This window comes from Homo sapiens, chromosome X, assembly GCF_000001405.40.
Source record: "Homo sapiens chromosome X, GRCh38.p14 Primary Assembly".
Classification (NCBI taxonomy): domain Eukaryota; kingdom Metazoa; phylum Chordata; class Mammalia; order Primates; family Hominidae; genus Homo; species Homo sapiens.
In genome coordinates, this window is record NC_000023.11 from 37,420,769 (window position 1) to 37,435,501 (window position 14,733).

General features: G+C 37.1%; 1 protein-coding gene across 5 annotated transcripts in view; it reads left to right on the forward strand.

The window, feature by feature from the left end:
• PRRG1 (proline rich and Gla domain 1) overlaps window positions 1-14,733 on the forward strand; it is a 107,928-nt gene that overhangs the window by 71,405 nt on the left and 21,790 nt on the right. For all 5 annotated transcript variants that reach the window (NM_001173489.2, NM_001173490.2, NM_000950.3 and 2 more), the window contains one exon: window positions 5,072-5,232. In NM_001173489.2, the coding sequence (NP_001166960.1) occupies window positions 5,072-5,232 (161 nt within the window). The remainder of the gene's footprint in view (window positions 1-5,071; window positions 5,233-14,733) is intronic.

Below are 14,733 nucleotides of genomic sequence, written 5' to 3' on the forward strand. Positions count from 1 at the left end.
GAAGGGTCGCTTTAGCCCAGGAGGCAGAGGTTGCAGTGAGCCAAGATCACATCACTGCACTCTAGCCTGGGCTACAGAGCGAAACTCTGTCTCAGAAGTGAATAAATAAGTAAATAAATAAATAAATAAATAAACTAAGGCATCCAAACCACAAACTCACACACCCACCAGAAATATGCCTGCCTTCTGACCTTGAAGAACATCCGTCATGTTCAGTCTTACAATAGAGCTCTTTGTGTATCTCTTTTATTATATCTTTGTTACCTCTTGCACTGAAGAACCTTGAGGGCAGAGGTCATCTGCTACCCATCTTTGTGACTTGTTGCATCCACTTATTTTATTTATTTTTATTATTTTCTTTTGAAGAGAAAGCATGGATGAGAGCTTATTTATTTTGAAATTATGAAAAAGTGGTTACATTTTTTTGAATAATATACTTATTTTGTGTCTGTGTATGTGTAAATATGCCTTAGGTTTGAAATATTCAATTTAATAAGAGTATTTCCTAACCGAATCTGAAGAAAAAAGGTTTAGGTTTTTCTTTATTTCCTTTAATGGGAAAACTGCATGTTTTAAATAACACCTCAGTATTGTGTTCTCAAGGCACATTTACATTCTGTATACTTGTCACATCATATAATCCTTGATTAAGGCATGCACATGATTCCTGATAGCTGTAATTTAACTCACACAATTTAAGGAGAAAGAGGCAATTAAGGAAGTGATCACTCAATTTAAGGAAGTGATGGACTTTAGTTTCAAACATCATGGCTTTAGTTAAACATCCTAACGCAAGCCCTTGCAGCCTGGAAATTGCCCCATGTTTTTAGAGGAGATAATCTGATTTCATCCTATAGATCAAAGCTGCCACCTTCTCCCTTATTTTGTTTTCGCATTTTAAAAAATTCTAATTTTAGGGGCACATGTTCTCAGGATCTCCTGAGGGCTGTGTCATGGGCAAAAAAGAAAATAATCTAGTTCTGGTATCATCATTTAGGGTCCATTAGGTTTCCAAATACTTTGATGAGCACTGGCAAATTCTCTGCCACTACTTCCTGTTCCCTAATAAATGGCAGACATAACTAATCTATAATAGTATCTTTCCTACAGGTCAGATTCTTACTTTAAGTGATATCTTCTAATGGACTGGATTTGGCAAGTGAGATAAAATCTACTTGCCAGCTGAATCCATGTAGAGTTCTTAGTATTATATTACCTTGCCGCCCAGTACAAGAAATACATAGAATATGATCATGGAATGCTTGGTAATTTGATTAGACTTGGATTAGAAGCTTTGTGTCCTGCTGTATTACCTTCCATTTGCTTATTCTTCTAAATTAGACTGCTTTCTGGTTACTGGAGTCAGTGGCTTGCTTTGACTCACCTTTTTGAGTTGGATAGCATATAAGAAAGTAATTATCTCTTAGAAGCATTTAGCTTTTTTCTCTTAAAAGTTCAAAATACATTAATGTTGATTGATTTATCTTCAGAAAAACTGATTCGAAACCCAGGGATATCTTAGACCACATTAACATATATATTGTCTTTAAAACAAGGAAGCCAATAATCCTGACCAGTTTTGCACTTGTCAGACCAAACACAAAGTATTGCGCTCAGCATAGGTCACTGTATTTTGAGAGGAAGATGATGCAGACTCAAATCCATTTTCTATGGCAAACAGATGAAGAAGCAAGACATGTTTATTCTGGAAAGGAGAAGTCCCACGGGAAACCATTTACTGTCTTTCTTCATGTATTAGTTGGCCTGTTATATGGAGGAGACTTATGCGTTAATTCAGAGGGTATAAATAAGACTAATGGCTAGGAAGTTGTTAAATCAGTAAAATATCTCTTGAAAAAGGGTACTATAGTCAAATATCACAAATGCATGTATCATGTTCCTTTTCAGATTTACAAATACATGCATGCATAATGATGTTTCAGTCAACAACAGACTGCATATACAATGATGGTCCCATAAGATTAGGAGCTGAAAAGTTTCTATTGCCTAGTGACATCATAGCATCACAGTGTTAACACATTACTCACATGTTTGTGGCAATACTGGAGTAAACAAACCTACTGCACTGCTAGTCATATAACAGTATAGTACATACAATTATATATATTGTATGTATATATATTTATTGTCATTCTGGAGTAAACTCCTTCTACTTATGAAAAAAAATTAACTATAAAATAGCCTCAAGCGAGTTCTTCTGGAGGTAATACAGAAGAAAGCATTGTTATAATAGCAGATGACAGCTCCATGCATGTTATTGTCCCTGAAGACCTTCAAGTGGGATAAGATGTGGATGTGGAAGACAGTGATATTGATGATCCTGACCCTGTGGAGGCCTAGGCTAATGTGTGTGCTTGTATCTTAATTTTTAACAAAAAAGTTAAATTTTAACAAAAAAGTTTAATTTTTAATTAATTAATTTTAATTTTTAACAAAAATTAACTTTTTTTAACAAAAAAGTTAAATTTTAACAAAAAAGTTTCAAAAGTAAAAAATACAATAAAATTTTTAAATAGGAAAAAGGCTTATAGAATAAGGATATATATAAAGAAAATATTTTTGTACAGCTGTACAATGTGTTTGTATTTTAAGCTGTGTTATTACTAAAGAGTCAAAAAGTTAAAAAATTAAAAAGTATGAAGTAAAAACATTATAGTAAGCCAAGGTTAATTTATTACTGAAGAAGGAGAAACATTTTCCTTCTTTTTATTTTCATTTAATTTTATTTTTTATTTTTTAATTTAATTTAATTTTAATTTTTTTGAGATGAGGTCTCACTGTGTTGCCCAGGCTGGTCTCGAACTCCTGGGCTCAAGCAATCCTCCCACCTCAGCCTCCCAAAGTGCTGGGATTACAGGCATGAGTTACTGCTCCCAGCCAAAATATTTTTTTTAAGAAATATATTTTTATACATTTAATGTAGCCTAAGTCGACAGTGTTGATAAAGTCTACAGTAGTCTACGGTAATGTCCTAGGCCTTCACATTCACTCACCACTCACTCAGGCCAACTTTCAATCCTGTAAGCTCCATTTATGATAAGTGCCCTGCAAACTCCTTTTATGGTAGGTGCCCTATACAGTACCATTTTTTATCTTTTATATCATATTATTCCTGTATCTTTTCAATGTTTAGATATACAAATACTTACCATTGTTATAATTGCCTATAGTATTCAGTATAGTAACAAACTGAACAGATTTATAGCCTAGGACCAATAGGCTATATCATATAGCCTAGGTGACTAGTAGGCTATGCCATCTAGGTTTGTGAAAATACACTCCATCCTGTTTGCACAATGATGAAATAGCCTAACAATGTATTTCTCAGAATGGATCCACATTGTTAAGTGATGCATGACTGTTTATACTAAATATATATGAAGGGCCCTAAAAAGTCATTCAGTGAAAGATCTCTTTAAATTTGTTAACCCTAGCATTCCATAAATACTTCACTCAGAATGTTTCCAAGGAACTCTCATTAGGGTAGTGATTCTCAAACTGTGGTAATGGGAGCAGCAGCAGCAGCATTTCCTGGAAACTGGTTAGAAATGTAATTTTATAGCCCTACCTCAGATCTATGGCATCAGAAACTCTGGGGTGGGGCCCAGCAGTCTGTGTGATAATCAGTCCTTCAGGGATTCTGATGCGGCTAAAAGGCAAGAAGTGTTAGAAAATTTTACTGTTATTCTCCAACTTAACAGTAACCTTTTGCTTTCCTTCATTACACTTAACCACAATTTGTATTTTTTAAAGTTCTAATGATATTCTATGAATCTGTGAATTCATATTCCATAATCATAATCTATTCTCTGAATTTCCTTCCTTCTGTACCTCATAAAGGGTCATAAAGGGAACCCTTTATGAGGTACAGAAGGAAATACTCATTGAAGGCCTATCATGGTTTTCACCCTGGTATAAGTGTCATCTAGCTGGTGTCAATTTGGATACTTTAAAGAATCCTAAATAATGAGTCCATATATTCTATAAAGTAAAATACTCATTTCTATAACAAAGCAAAACTTTAATCCATTGCTGGCTGTCATTGTCATTTTTAAAAGAGCACATAAAAAGTTTTTCATTTCCTTCAAAATGTTTTTCAGAAAATGTAGACTTTTTTAGCATCTTGAAAGATCTGTAATGTGCCTTTTCTTATGTCAGAATTCTATAAATTAGGAAATGTTCTAATCTCTTGCATTAACGGAGATGAAATTCTGGTGGCATTATATTTGTCTCTCCAAACAGGCAACATTCTTTTAGAAAAATGTAATTGAAATTGAACTTAAAATGTATTTGTATTTAAAAATAAAACATCTTATTTTTTATTTTTTATATTTTATTATTATTAAAATAAAAGCATCTTTTTTACATGGTTTCATAAATGTATTTTGAATGTTTATATGAAATGCCTCTGTAAATCATGCAGAAGAATTTTCTTTTTCTAAAGGACAGTGAAATGAGGTTGAATGTGTTAAAGCATCACACTATATTTAACTCAAGTACATTTAGAACAAAATTATTATTAGGATTTCCATAGAATGAATCATGGCCAAATTTAACTTCTCACAATTTTTTTTTACCTATTCTTTTCATACAAGTTAGAGCTCTCTGGGTTTATATTACTAGGTCAACTGAAGTGTTATTTATTTTTAGGTAGAGGGACAAAGACTGATAATCTAGAGACTGGATTTGATTTGGCTGCTGCTGTCTGTCAGCAGAATGCCTTGGGGTATCTACTTACAGTAATGAGTATAAGTAGTGCTATCATTATTAGTATATTTAAACACCCATGGTTTGCAGGAATGTGCTGAAGTCTGAATATAACATAGTTAATTATGTCACTGTCCCTGCCCAGGGCAACTGCTATTGAAAGGACATACTCACATCATGAGGAAGATAGCAGATACAGTGGTTTGGAGCTAAGTGTTACTTCATTGCTGACTCACGGAAAGAGGTTTAGGATGTTGGCTATGTTTTCTAAAGAGCATCTAGCAGTTTTCATCTGGTATATCAACTTGCCACATAGGTTTTTTATACTTATATTTCTTTTTAGTTTTCCTCACGGGAGAAAAAGCCAATTCCATATTAAAACGCTACCCAAGAGCTAATGGGTTTTTTGAAGAAATAAGACAGGGCAACATTGAGCGTGAGTGCAAAGAAGAATTCTGTACATTTGAAGAAGCAAGAGAAGCTTTTGAAAATAATGAAAAAACTGTAAGTATGTTGGCAATTAAAAAGTTGCACAGATTTGCCTACCTTTTTGATGTATATTTGAAATCTGCATCCCTGAATTATGTACATTGCTAGCAATTAAAAATTCCTTTGTTAGGAACTCGGAAAATGGCATCTAACTAGTAATATTCTGTGGGTTGGAGAGCTAGGTTCACTTCCCCTTGTGCTGGACTGTCTTTGAGAGCCCCGTTCCTATAGGACTCTGCTGAGCGAGGATTTATCATCTTGGCGAGTAGGAAGGATTTGATTTGCACAAAGCTTTGTTCTAGAAGGTTATAGATAATATCACTTTGCCTAATTACAGAGAAAGTGTGGAGGAAGCTAATGGATGGTGATAGTGTTTTAAAAGGTTTTACTTCTCGTACAAAAGAAAAGACATCCAGACATACCTTCCCACTCCGCGAGAATACTCCTCTTTACTTCTCTTTACTCTAGACTACATGCTATTCAAAGAGAGCAGGAATGGGACAGCACAAGGCAGGGGTGAAAAGTCTATAGAACTGCTCCACAGCTGGAAATTGTTACCAGAGGTAGCCATTGTATAAAGATTCAGTCCTGGGCAGCAGGAAAATAACCCTAGATGCTAAACAAGTGGTGTCACTTATGCTAAAAAGATACTAAATATACCTTAAGAGCAGCAGATGCAAAAGTTTTAAAGAAAGGGGTAAGAGGAAGAAGCCACATCTTAGTCAAATCACAGGGTTAGAAATAGGGAAAAGAATATATCATCCATAATACCATCATGCAATCACAAAGCACGGTTGACCTTTTATTTTCTTTCCAGCTTTTTCCCTTTGCATCCGCTTAGTCATTGTTGGTTTTATTTTATTTTATTCATTTTACTTTTTAAAAATAGTATATGTTCATTGTAGAGAAATTTAAAAATGTAGTAACATAAAATCACTTGAGTTTTTAGCACCACCAGTTTTATAATTTTGGTATATCTCATTCTGGCCTATTTTTACTACATAGATACTTCATAAATAAGAAAAATAGGATTGTAGTAGAAATAGTGTTTTGCACCATAAAGTTTTTAATAAAAACTGGCTGAAGTTACTATAAACCATAAACAAAACGTGGTTTTTGATATTGTGTTTTATCAAATAATAGAAATTATAGATATTCTACTATGGTTTTCACAAGGCTAATGGCTTTTTACCCTACTTTATCATTCTCCTTTAAAGAAATCGTAAGAACTTGTTTGGGATTTATTGTTCTAAAAGTACTTTATACAAGTGAATAATATTCTTTTACAAAAAAAATTTATTGAGTTATGTTTGACATATAAAAAGCTGTACTTATTTAATGTATACGTTTCTATGAGTTTGGGGATAGGTATACACCTATGAAACAACCATCACCATCAAGGCCACAAACATATCCATCACCTCCTAAAGTTTCCTCTCACCCCTTTATTATTGTTGTAGTTGTGTTCTGTGAGTATGGTAAGAGGACTTAACATATGATCTACCTTCTTAGCAAAATTTAAGTATATAATATAACATTGTTAGCTGTAGGTACCATGCTGTATAGCAGATCTCCAGAATTCATTTATCTTGCATAACTGAAAGTTTATACTGTTTGCTACTTCTCATTTCTTTCTCCCCAAGCCCCTGGCAACCACCATTCTCCTCTTTGCTTCTATTAGTTCACCTTTTTTAGATTCCATATATAAGTGAGATCCTGTGGTATTTGTCTTTCTATGCCTGGCTTATTTCACTTAATATAACGTCCTCCAGGTCTATTAATGTTGTCACAAATTACAGGATTTCCTTCTTTTATAAGGCTGAATAATATTTCATTGTGTGTTGTATTAGTCTGTTTTCATGCTGCTGATAAAAGACATACCCAAGACTGGAAAAAAAGGATTAATTGGACTTACAGTTCCGCATGGCTGGGGAGGCCTCAGAATCATGGCAGGAGGTGAAAGGCACTTCTTACATGGTGGTGGCAAGAGAAAATGAGGAAGAAGCAAAAGCGGAAACCCTCGATAAACCCATCACATCTCATGATACTTATTCACTATCATGAGAACAGCACGGGAAAGACTGGCCCCCATAATTCAATTACCTCCCCCTGGGTCTCTACCACAACATGTGGGAATTCTGGGAGATACAATTCAAGTTGAGATTTGGGTGGGGACACAGCCAAACCATATCATTCTGCCCCGGCCCCTCCAAATCTCATGTCCTCATATTTCAAAATGAATCATGCCTTCCCAACAGTCCCCCAGAGTCTTAACTCATTTTGGCATTAACCCAAAAGTCCACAGTCCAAAGTCTAATCTGAGACAAGGCGTGTCCCTTCCGCCTATGAGTGTATAAAATCAAAAGCAAGATAGTTATTTCCTAGATACAATGGGGGTACAGGTGTTGGGTTAATACAGACCTTCCAAATGGGAGAAATTGGCCAAAACAAAGGGTATACAGGCCCTTTGCAAATCCAAAATCCATCAAGGCAGTCAAATCTTAAAACTCCAAAATTATGTCCTTTGACTCCATGCCTCATGTCCAGGTCACACTGATGCAAGGGGTGGGTTCCCATGGTCTTGAGCAACTCTGCCCCTGTGGCTTTGCAGGGTACAGCCTCGCTCCTGGTTGCTTTCACAGGCTGGCATTGAGTGCCTATGGCTTCTCTAGGCACACGGTGCAAGCTTTCAGTGGATCTACCATTCTGGGATCTGGAGGATGGTGGCCCTCTTCTCACAGCTCCACTATATAGTACCCCAGTAGGGACTCTGTGTGGGGGCTCTGACCCCACATTTCTCTTCTGCACTGCGATAGCAGAGGTTCTCCATGAGAGCCCTGTCCCTGCAGCAAACTTCTTCCTGGACATCTGGGTGTTTCCACACATCCTCTGAAATCTAGGCAGGGATTCCCAAACCTCAGTTCTTGACTTCTGTGCACCTGCAGGCTCAACACCACATGGAAGCTGCTTAAGTTTGGGGCTGGCACCCTCTGAAACCATGGGCCAAGCTGTACCTTAGCCCCTTTTAGCAATGGCTGGAGTGGCTGGGATGCAGGGCACCAAGTCCCTAGGCTGCACACAGCATGGGGACCCTGGGCCTGGCCCAGGAAACCATTTTTTCCTTCTGGACTTCCAAATCTGTGATAGGGGTGGGTAGGGGCTGCCTTGAAAACCCATGACGTGCCCTGGAGACATTTTCCTCATTGTCTTGGGGATTAACATTCGGCTCCTTGTTATGCAAATTTCTGAAGCCAGCTTGAGTTTTTTCCTCAGAAAATGGGTTTTTCTTTTTTACTACATCATCAGGCTGCAAATTTTCCAAACTTTTATGCTCTGTTTTCCTTTTAAAATGGAATACTTTTAACAGAACCCAAGTCACCTCTTGGATGCTTTGCTGCCTAGAAATTTCTCCCGCCAGATACCCTAAATCATCTTTCTCAAGTTCAAAGTTCCACAAATCTCTAGGGCGGGGCAAAATGCCACCAGTCTCTTTGCTAAAACATAGCAAGAGTCACCTTTGCTCCAGTTCCCAACAAGTTCCTCCTCTCCATCTGAGACCACCTCAGCCTGGACCTTATTGTTCATATCACTATGAGCATTTTTGTCAAAGCCATTCAGCAAGTCTCTAGGAAGTTCCAAACTTTCCCACATTTTTCTGTCTTCTTCTGAGCCCTCCAAACTGTCCCAACCTCTGCCTGTTACCCAGTTCCAAAGTCATTTCCACATTTTCAGGTATCTTTTCAGCAGTGCCCCACTCTACTGGTACCAATTTATTGTATTAGTCGTTTTTACACTGCTGACATACCTGAGACTGGGAAGAAAAAGAGATTTAATTGGACTTACAGTTCCACATGGCTGGCAAGGCCTTAGAATCAGGCAGGAGGCGAAAGGCACTTCTTACATGGTGGCAGCAAGACAAAATGAGGAAGAAACAAAAGTGGAAACCCCTGATAAACCCATCAGATTTCATGAGATTTATTCACTATCATAAGAATAGCACAGGAAAGACTGGCCCCCATGATTCAATTACCTCCCCCAGGCCCCTCCCACAGCACGTGGGAATTCTGGGATATACAATTCAAGATTTGGGTGGGGAAACAGCCAAACTATATCATGTGTATATACCACATTTTCTTTATACAGTGATCTGTCAGTGGACATTTGGTTACTTTTAGTTAGGAGTAATATTTAGAAACTGAGATCTGGGAACTAGAATATGCTCATTGCTACCAGAATGTTGTTACTTCTGGATCTTTCAGCAATAGAGCTAGGAAAAAAAAATCACACATATGTATACATGCATACAAATTCTATATATGTCTATATGTAGAAATGTAAACATATAAACATATAGACATGTATGCATGTAGACATATATGTGAAATAACTAATTCATTATGCTGATCTCCAATTGCAATCCAATCCCTCAGGGCTCTTCCAGCCATTCTACTTTTGTAGAGATGTAAAAATTCCTTATAGATGTTCTTCCAAAATGAGAATTCCAGCACCCAAAAACATCAATATATTAATAACTCATTTGCTTAGTTGTATAATACACAATGGTTTCGGAATTGTAATATCTATACTGTAATGTGGAGAGGGAAAACTTATATTCATTCATGCATGCATGCATGCATTTTTTTAACATCTTATTTGGAAATAATTATAGATTCACAAAAAATTGCAAAGATAATACATTGAGGTCCCATGCAGCCTTTACTCAGTTTCCCCCAATGGTTACATCTTACATAACTGTAAGATCAAAACTAGGAAACTGACGTTGGTACAATCTGTATGTATAGTTCTGTGTCATTTTATCACTTGTATAGATTTGTGTAACCATCACTGCAATCAAGTAGCAGATATATTTCATTACCACAAAGTTTTCCCTCATACTACCCTTTAATAGTCACACCTACTATCTTCCACAACCATCCCTAACCCTTAGCAATCACTAATCTGTTTCCATCTCTATAATTCTGCCATTGCAAGAATGTTATATAAATGGAATAATATAATGTGGAACCTTTTGATATTGGCTTTTTAGAGTCAGCATAATGCTCTTGAGATTAATCCAAGTTACATATATCAATAGTTCATTCATTTTTGTTTATGAGTAATATTCCATGGTATTGATACACCATGGTTTGTTGAACCATTTGCTTATTGAGAGACGTGTGTTGTTTCTAGTTCATGGCTTTTACAAATAAAGCTGTTATGAACATTGCATAGGTTTTTGTATTGACATAAATTTTCATTTCTGTGGGATAAGTCACTGGGAGTACAATTCTTGGGTTGCATGGTATATGTGTAGTTTTTTAAGACACTGACAAACTAATTTGTCATTGTATAAATTACCATCTTATAGTCTCACCAACAGTGTTTGAGAGATCCAGTTTCTTTACATACTCATGAGCACTTGGTATTGTTACTGTGTTTTATTTTAGCCATTCTGCTAGGAGTGTAGTGATAACTTCTTGTGATTTTAATTTGCACTTCCTTAATGGCTCATGATATTGAACATCTTTTTATGTGCCTATTTTCTATTTATGTTTCTTCTTTGGTGAAATCTCTCTTCATGTCATTAGCTTACTTTCTGATGGGATGTTTTATTTTATTTTACTATTGAGCTTTGAGAGTTCTTTATTATCCTAGGTTTGGATCTGTTTTCAGATATATGGTTTCTAGGCTATTTGAATTTTATGTATTAATTGTATATTCTACTACTCTCGTATTGATTAAGTTTTATCATTGATTCTCAGTGTGAACAATGTTTTTTTGTTGTTGTTGTTTGTTTTTGGAGACAGATTCTCGCTCTGTTGCCCAGGCTGGAGTGAAGTGGTGCAATCTCGGCTCATGGCAACCTTTGCCTCCCAGGTTCAAGTGATTCTTGTGCCTCAGCCTCCTAAGTAGCTGGGACTACAGGTGCATGCCACCATGTCCGGCTTTATATACATATATATATATATTTAGTAGAGATGGGATCTCACCATGTTGCCCAGGCTGGTCTCGAAATCCTGAGCTCAGGCAATCCACCCACCTCAGCCTCCCAAAGTGCTAGGATTATAGGCATGAGCCACCACACCTGGCCATCATGGTGAACAATGTTTTTTTTTTTTTGAGATGGAGTCTCGCTCTGTCGCCCAGGCTGGAGTGCAGTGGCGCAATCTCAGCTCACTGCAAGCTCCGCCTCCCGGGTTCACGCCATTCTCCTGCCTCAGCCTCCCAAGTAGCTGGGACTACAGACGCCTGCCACCACGCCCGGCTAATTTTTTGTATTTTTAGTAGAGACGGCTTTCACCCTGTTAGCCAGGATGGTCTCGATCTCCTGACCTCATGATCCGCCCGCCTTGGCCTCCCAAAGTGCTGGGATTACAGGCGTGAGCCACTGCACCCGGACCGTGAACAATGTTTTTAATGCCTACATTTCTGGCCTTTTATCCATCTCAGTGCTTCTATATATCATTTCCCACCCACAGAGACAGGATGCTGCATGTCAGCAATCTTTGAAGCAAGTAGAAGAAATTCCTTCAACTGTGAGAGAATTGCTTGAGAAATTTTCTGTACTTCCGGCATCACCTTTTCCTTCCTATAGAATCATTCTCATCTTATTAGCCTACATGCCCCAGAAAGAAAGAGAAAAAAGAAAACTCTCTTAACACATCGCCATCCAACAACCACTTCATTTCTTGAAACTCTGCTCTGCCTACACTTGCTCCCCTGGTGATCTTTCCTCTTCTCATACTTCAAATGCTAATAACTTCCAAATTTATATTTGTAGTTCCTGGAGCGCTAAACTGAACTACAGACTTGTATGGCTAACTGCCTACTCAACATGTTATCTTAGAATCAAATATGGTTCTCAAAGTAAACAAATTTGCACCCCTTCCCCCAAATATCTACACTTACTACATCCTCTCTGATCTCAATAAGTAGTAACTCCATCCATCATGTTTGCTGATCTCCAGGCTTTTTGCCATCTCTGACTCCTCTCTTTTTCATATCCCACACCCCATCTGCAATAGTTGGTTCTAATATGAAAATATACTCGGAATCTAGCCACCTTTCTACTTGTTATCACTTTACATCCAAGCCACCACAACCCTCTCATCTGTATGATTTTTTGGCCCCTGCCCCATAGTTGATTCTCAAAACAGCAGGTTAGAGTGATCCTTTAAATTCTCTTACTTGCAAGGGCTTCCCATCTCCCTCAGTAAAGGCCAAAGTGCTCAGAATCACCCACCAGGTACTACACAATCAGTCCTCATCTATCTCCACCCCACAGCTTCACTCGATATATAGTTATTTCTTTACCACATCTCCTATGACACCCCACCCCTTATTCACTTTGCTGTGGCTTTCTTGTGCGTCCTCACATACACAGACAGCACGTGACCTGCCTCATGACTTTGGCACTTGCTCTCTCCTCTTCTAGATGGATATGTCTGAGTTCCTTCACCACTCTCAAGTCTTCACTCAAGTTCATTTTCACAGTGAGAAAGCACTCTACCTTAAATTGCAACCGCTTGTCCCTTCTGTGACTTTCTTTTTTTCAAGCACTGACATCATTTGACATCTATTTGTTTTTTTTTTTAATTGTTACCTCCCCCGCCCCATCAGGACTGTTAGCTCCATGAGAGCAACATTTCTCATCTGTTTTGTTCATAGCTATGGTCCCTAGCATATAAAGCAGTGCTGGCACATAATAGAAGCCAAATAAGTATTTGATGGATGAATGAAGGAATGGATTGGCAAATCACAAAGTAAATTTAGTTTATGGGAGGAACCGATTTAAACCCAAGTTGGCTGATAGATAATAGACTTTAAAATGGTTTTTATTATGTTGTTGTTATATTTCCTTCTTTGTGCTTTAAAGTTTGTCATCTGAGTTTGTTCATGCCATTAAAACAATCCCATTTAGGATAAGGTGTGCCAGCCTTTGATCTAGCAAATGTAAGTGAAGTGGCATTCTCATTTTTTATCTGTTTCAGAACAATGTTTGTTATCTGTTAATCAGGATCTAGCATTGCCAGCAAAGTTTCATCTTAATCTTGGCAGTGAAGAAAATGATTGGATTTGAGATTTGCTTTCTACTTTTAGACTATCTTTACTATCTTTTTGTTTACTAAAATTTATCGCTCAGAATACTTTTACTCATACGTGGTTTCATCATTTCCAAACATGAAGTATGTGAATTTAGAAGTCTGCTTTCAGTAGAATGTTTATTGTTGGAATTATTTACCTAATTTGGAACACAAGTCTAATTATACAATGGGAGAAAACATATTGTACTTCACGGTCCTCATTTTCATCATGTAGAAAATGGGTCAGATTTATTCAGACATTATCTGCTGAATGCCTACTATGTAACAGTCACAGTATATACAACAATGAATAGGCTGCTCCTCATGGCATTTGAGTTCTGATAGAAACAGCAGACATATGCACAAAGGCTTATATGAGCATGCTGTAAACCTTAAATATACCCAATTTTTATTTGTCAGTTATACCTCAATAAAGCTGAGTTGTCATGCCAAAATCCTCTGCTTTGAGAATCAGATGGACCTTGATCTGGTGTCTGAGCTCTGCCATCTACTGACTATATTGATTTGCGCAAACATTTCATCTTTTAGGCCTCAATTTTTGTATCTTTTAAAAGGAGGATATTATACCTACAGTATGAGGTTTGAGGCTGTGCACTTAGCATAGTTTTTGGAACAGAGAAAACTTTCAATAAATATAATTTATTCTAGTTTTTAGGTGCTGAATTCTTGCCACTTTATTTAGGAATCATTATTTCACCACTATCACTTTTTCTCTCTTCTCTCTATGAGACTATGAGGGTTCTCTACATTTTGGAGCTGTTAATCTTGCACTGACATTGAGAAAATAGTAGTAATTCTTTAAAACAATGATTATAGAACTTTTAATCGTATATAATTTCTAGTTTATTTTGCTTGACTTTCCACAGTGGTTGTCTTCAAAGTTAAGCGTGCATAGGAACAGTCTGGGTGCTTAGCACACCTGCATAGTCCCACCTAGTGCCCAGATCTGGGTTTCTAATTCCATTCTATAGTGAAATAAAACAGGACTTTCTGGGGACATGGCTCATTATTGGGCTGGAGTGTGGAGAATACAAGATGAGCTGGAGAACATTGTGGTACCAGAAAGTAAGGAAGTGTGATAATCCAAAGAATGGGAGCATGTTAAAGGGACACAGGAGGTAACCTAAAGAAGCTCTCAGTGGCCAAAGCTGAACAATTTTAGCCACAAAATAAATGATGTAGTATTGGATTATAGCCCAAAACACAAAATAAATACACATGATTATATAATGATATAAATGCATGACTGAATGAAAAGGTGAAAAGAGAAAAATCCACACTATAGAATTCCAAATTATGTATGTAAATACTCCACCCCAGATGGTGGAGCTTAATTTTCTTCTTCCCTTGAGTGTGGCTTGAACTTAAAGACTAGCTTTCAAAGAACAGAGTATGGGAAGGATCAGCGGGT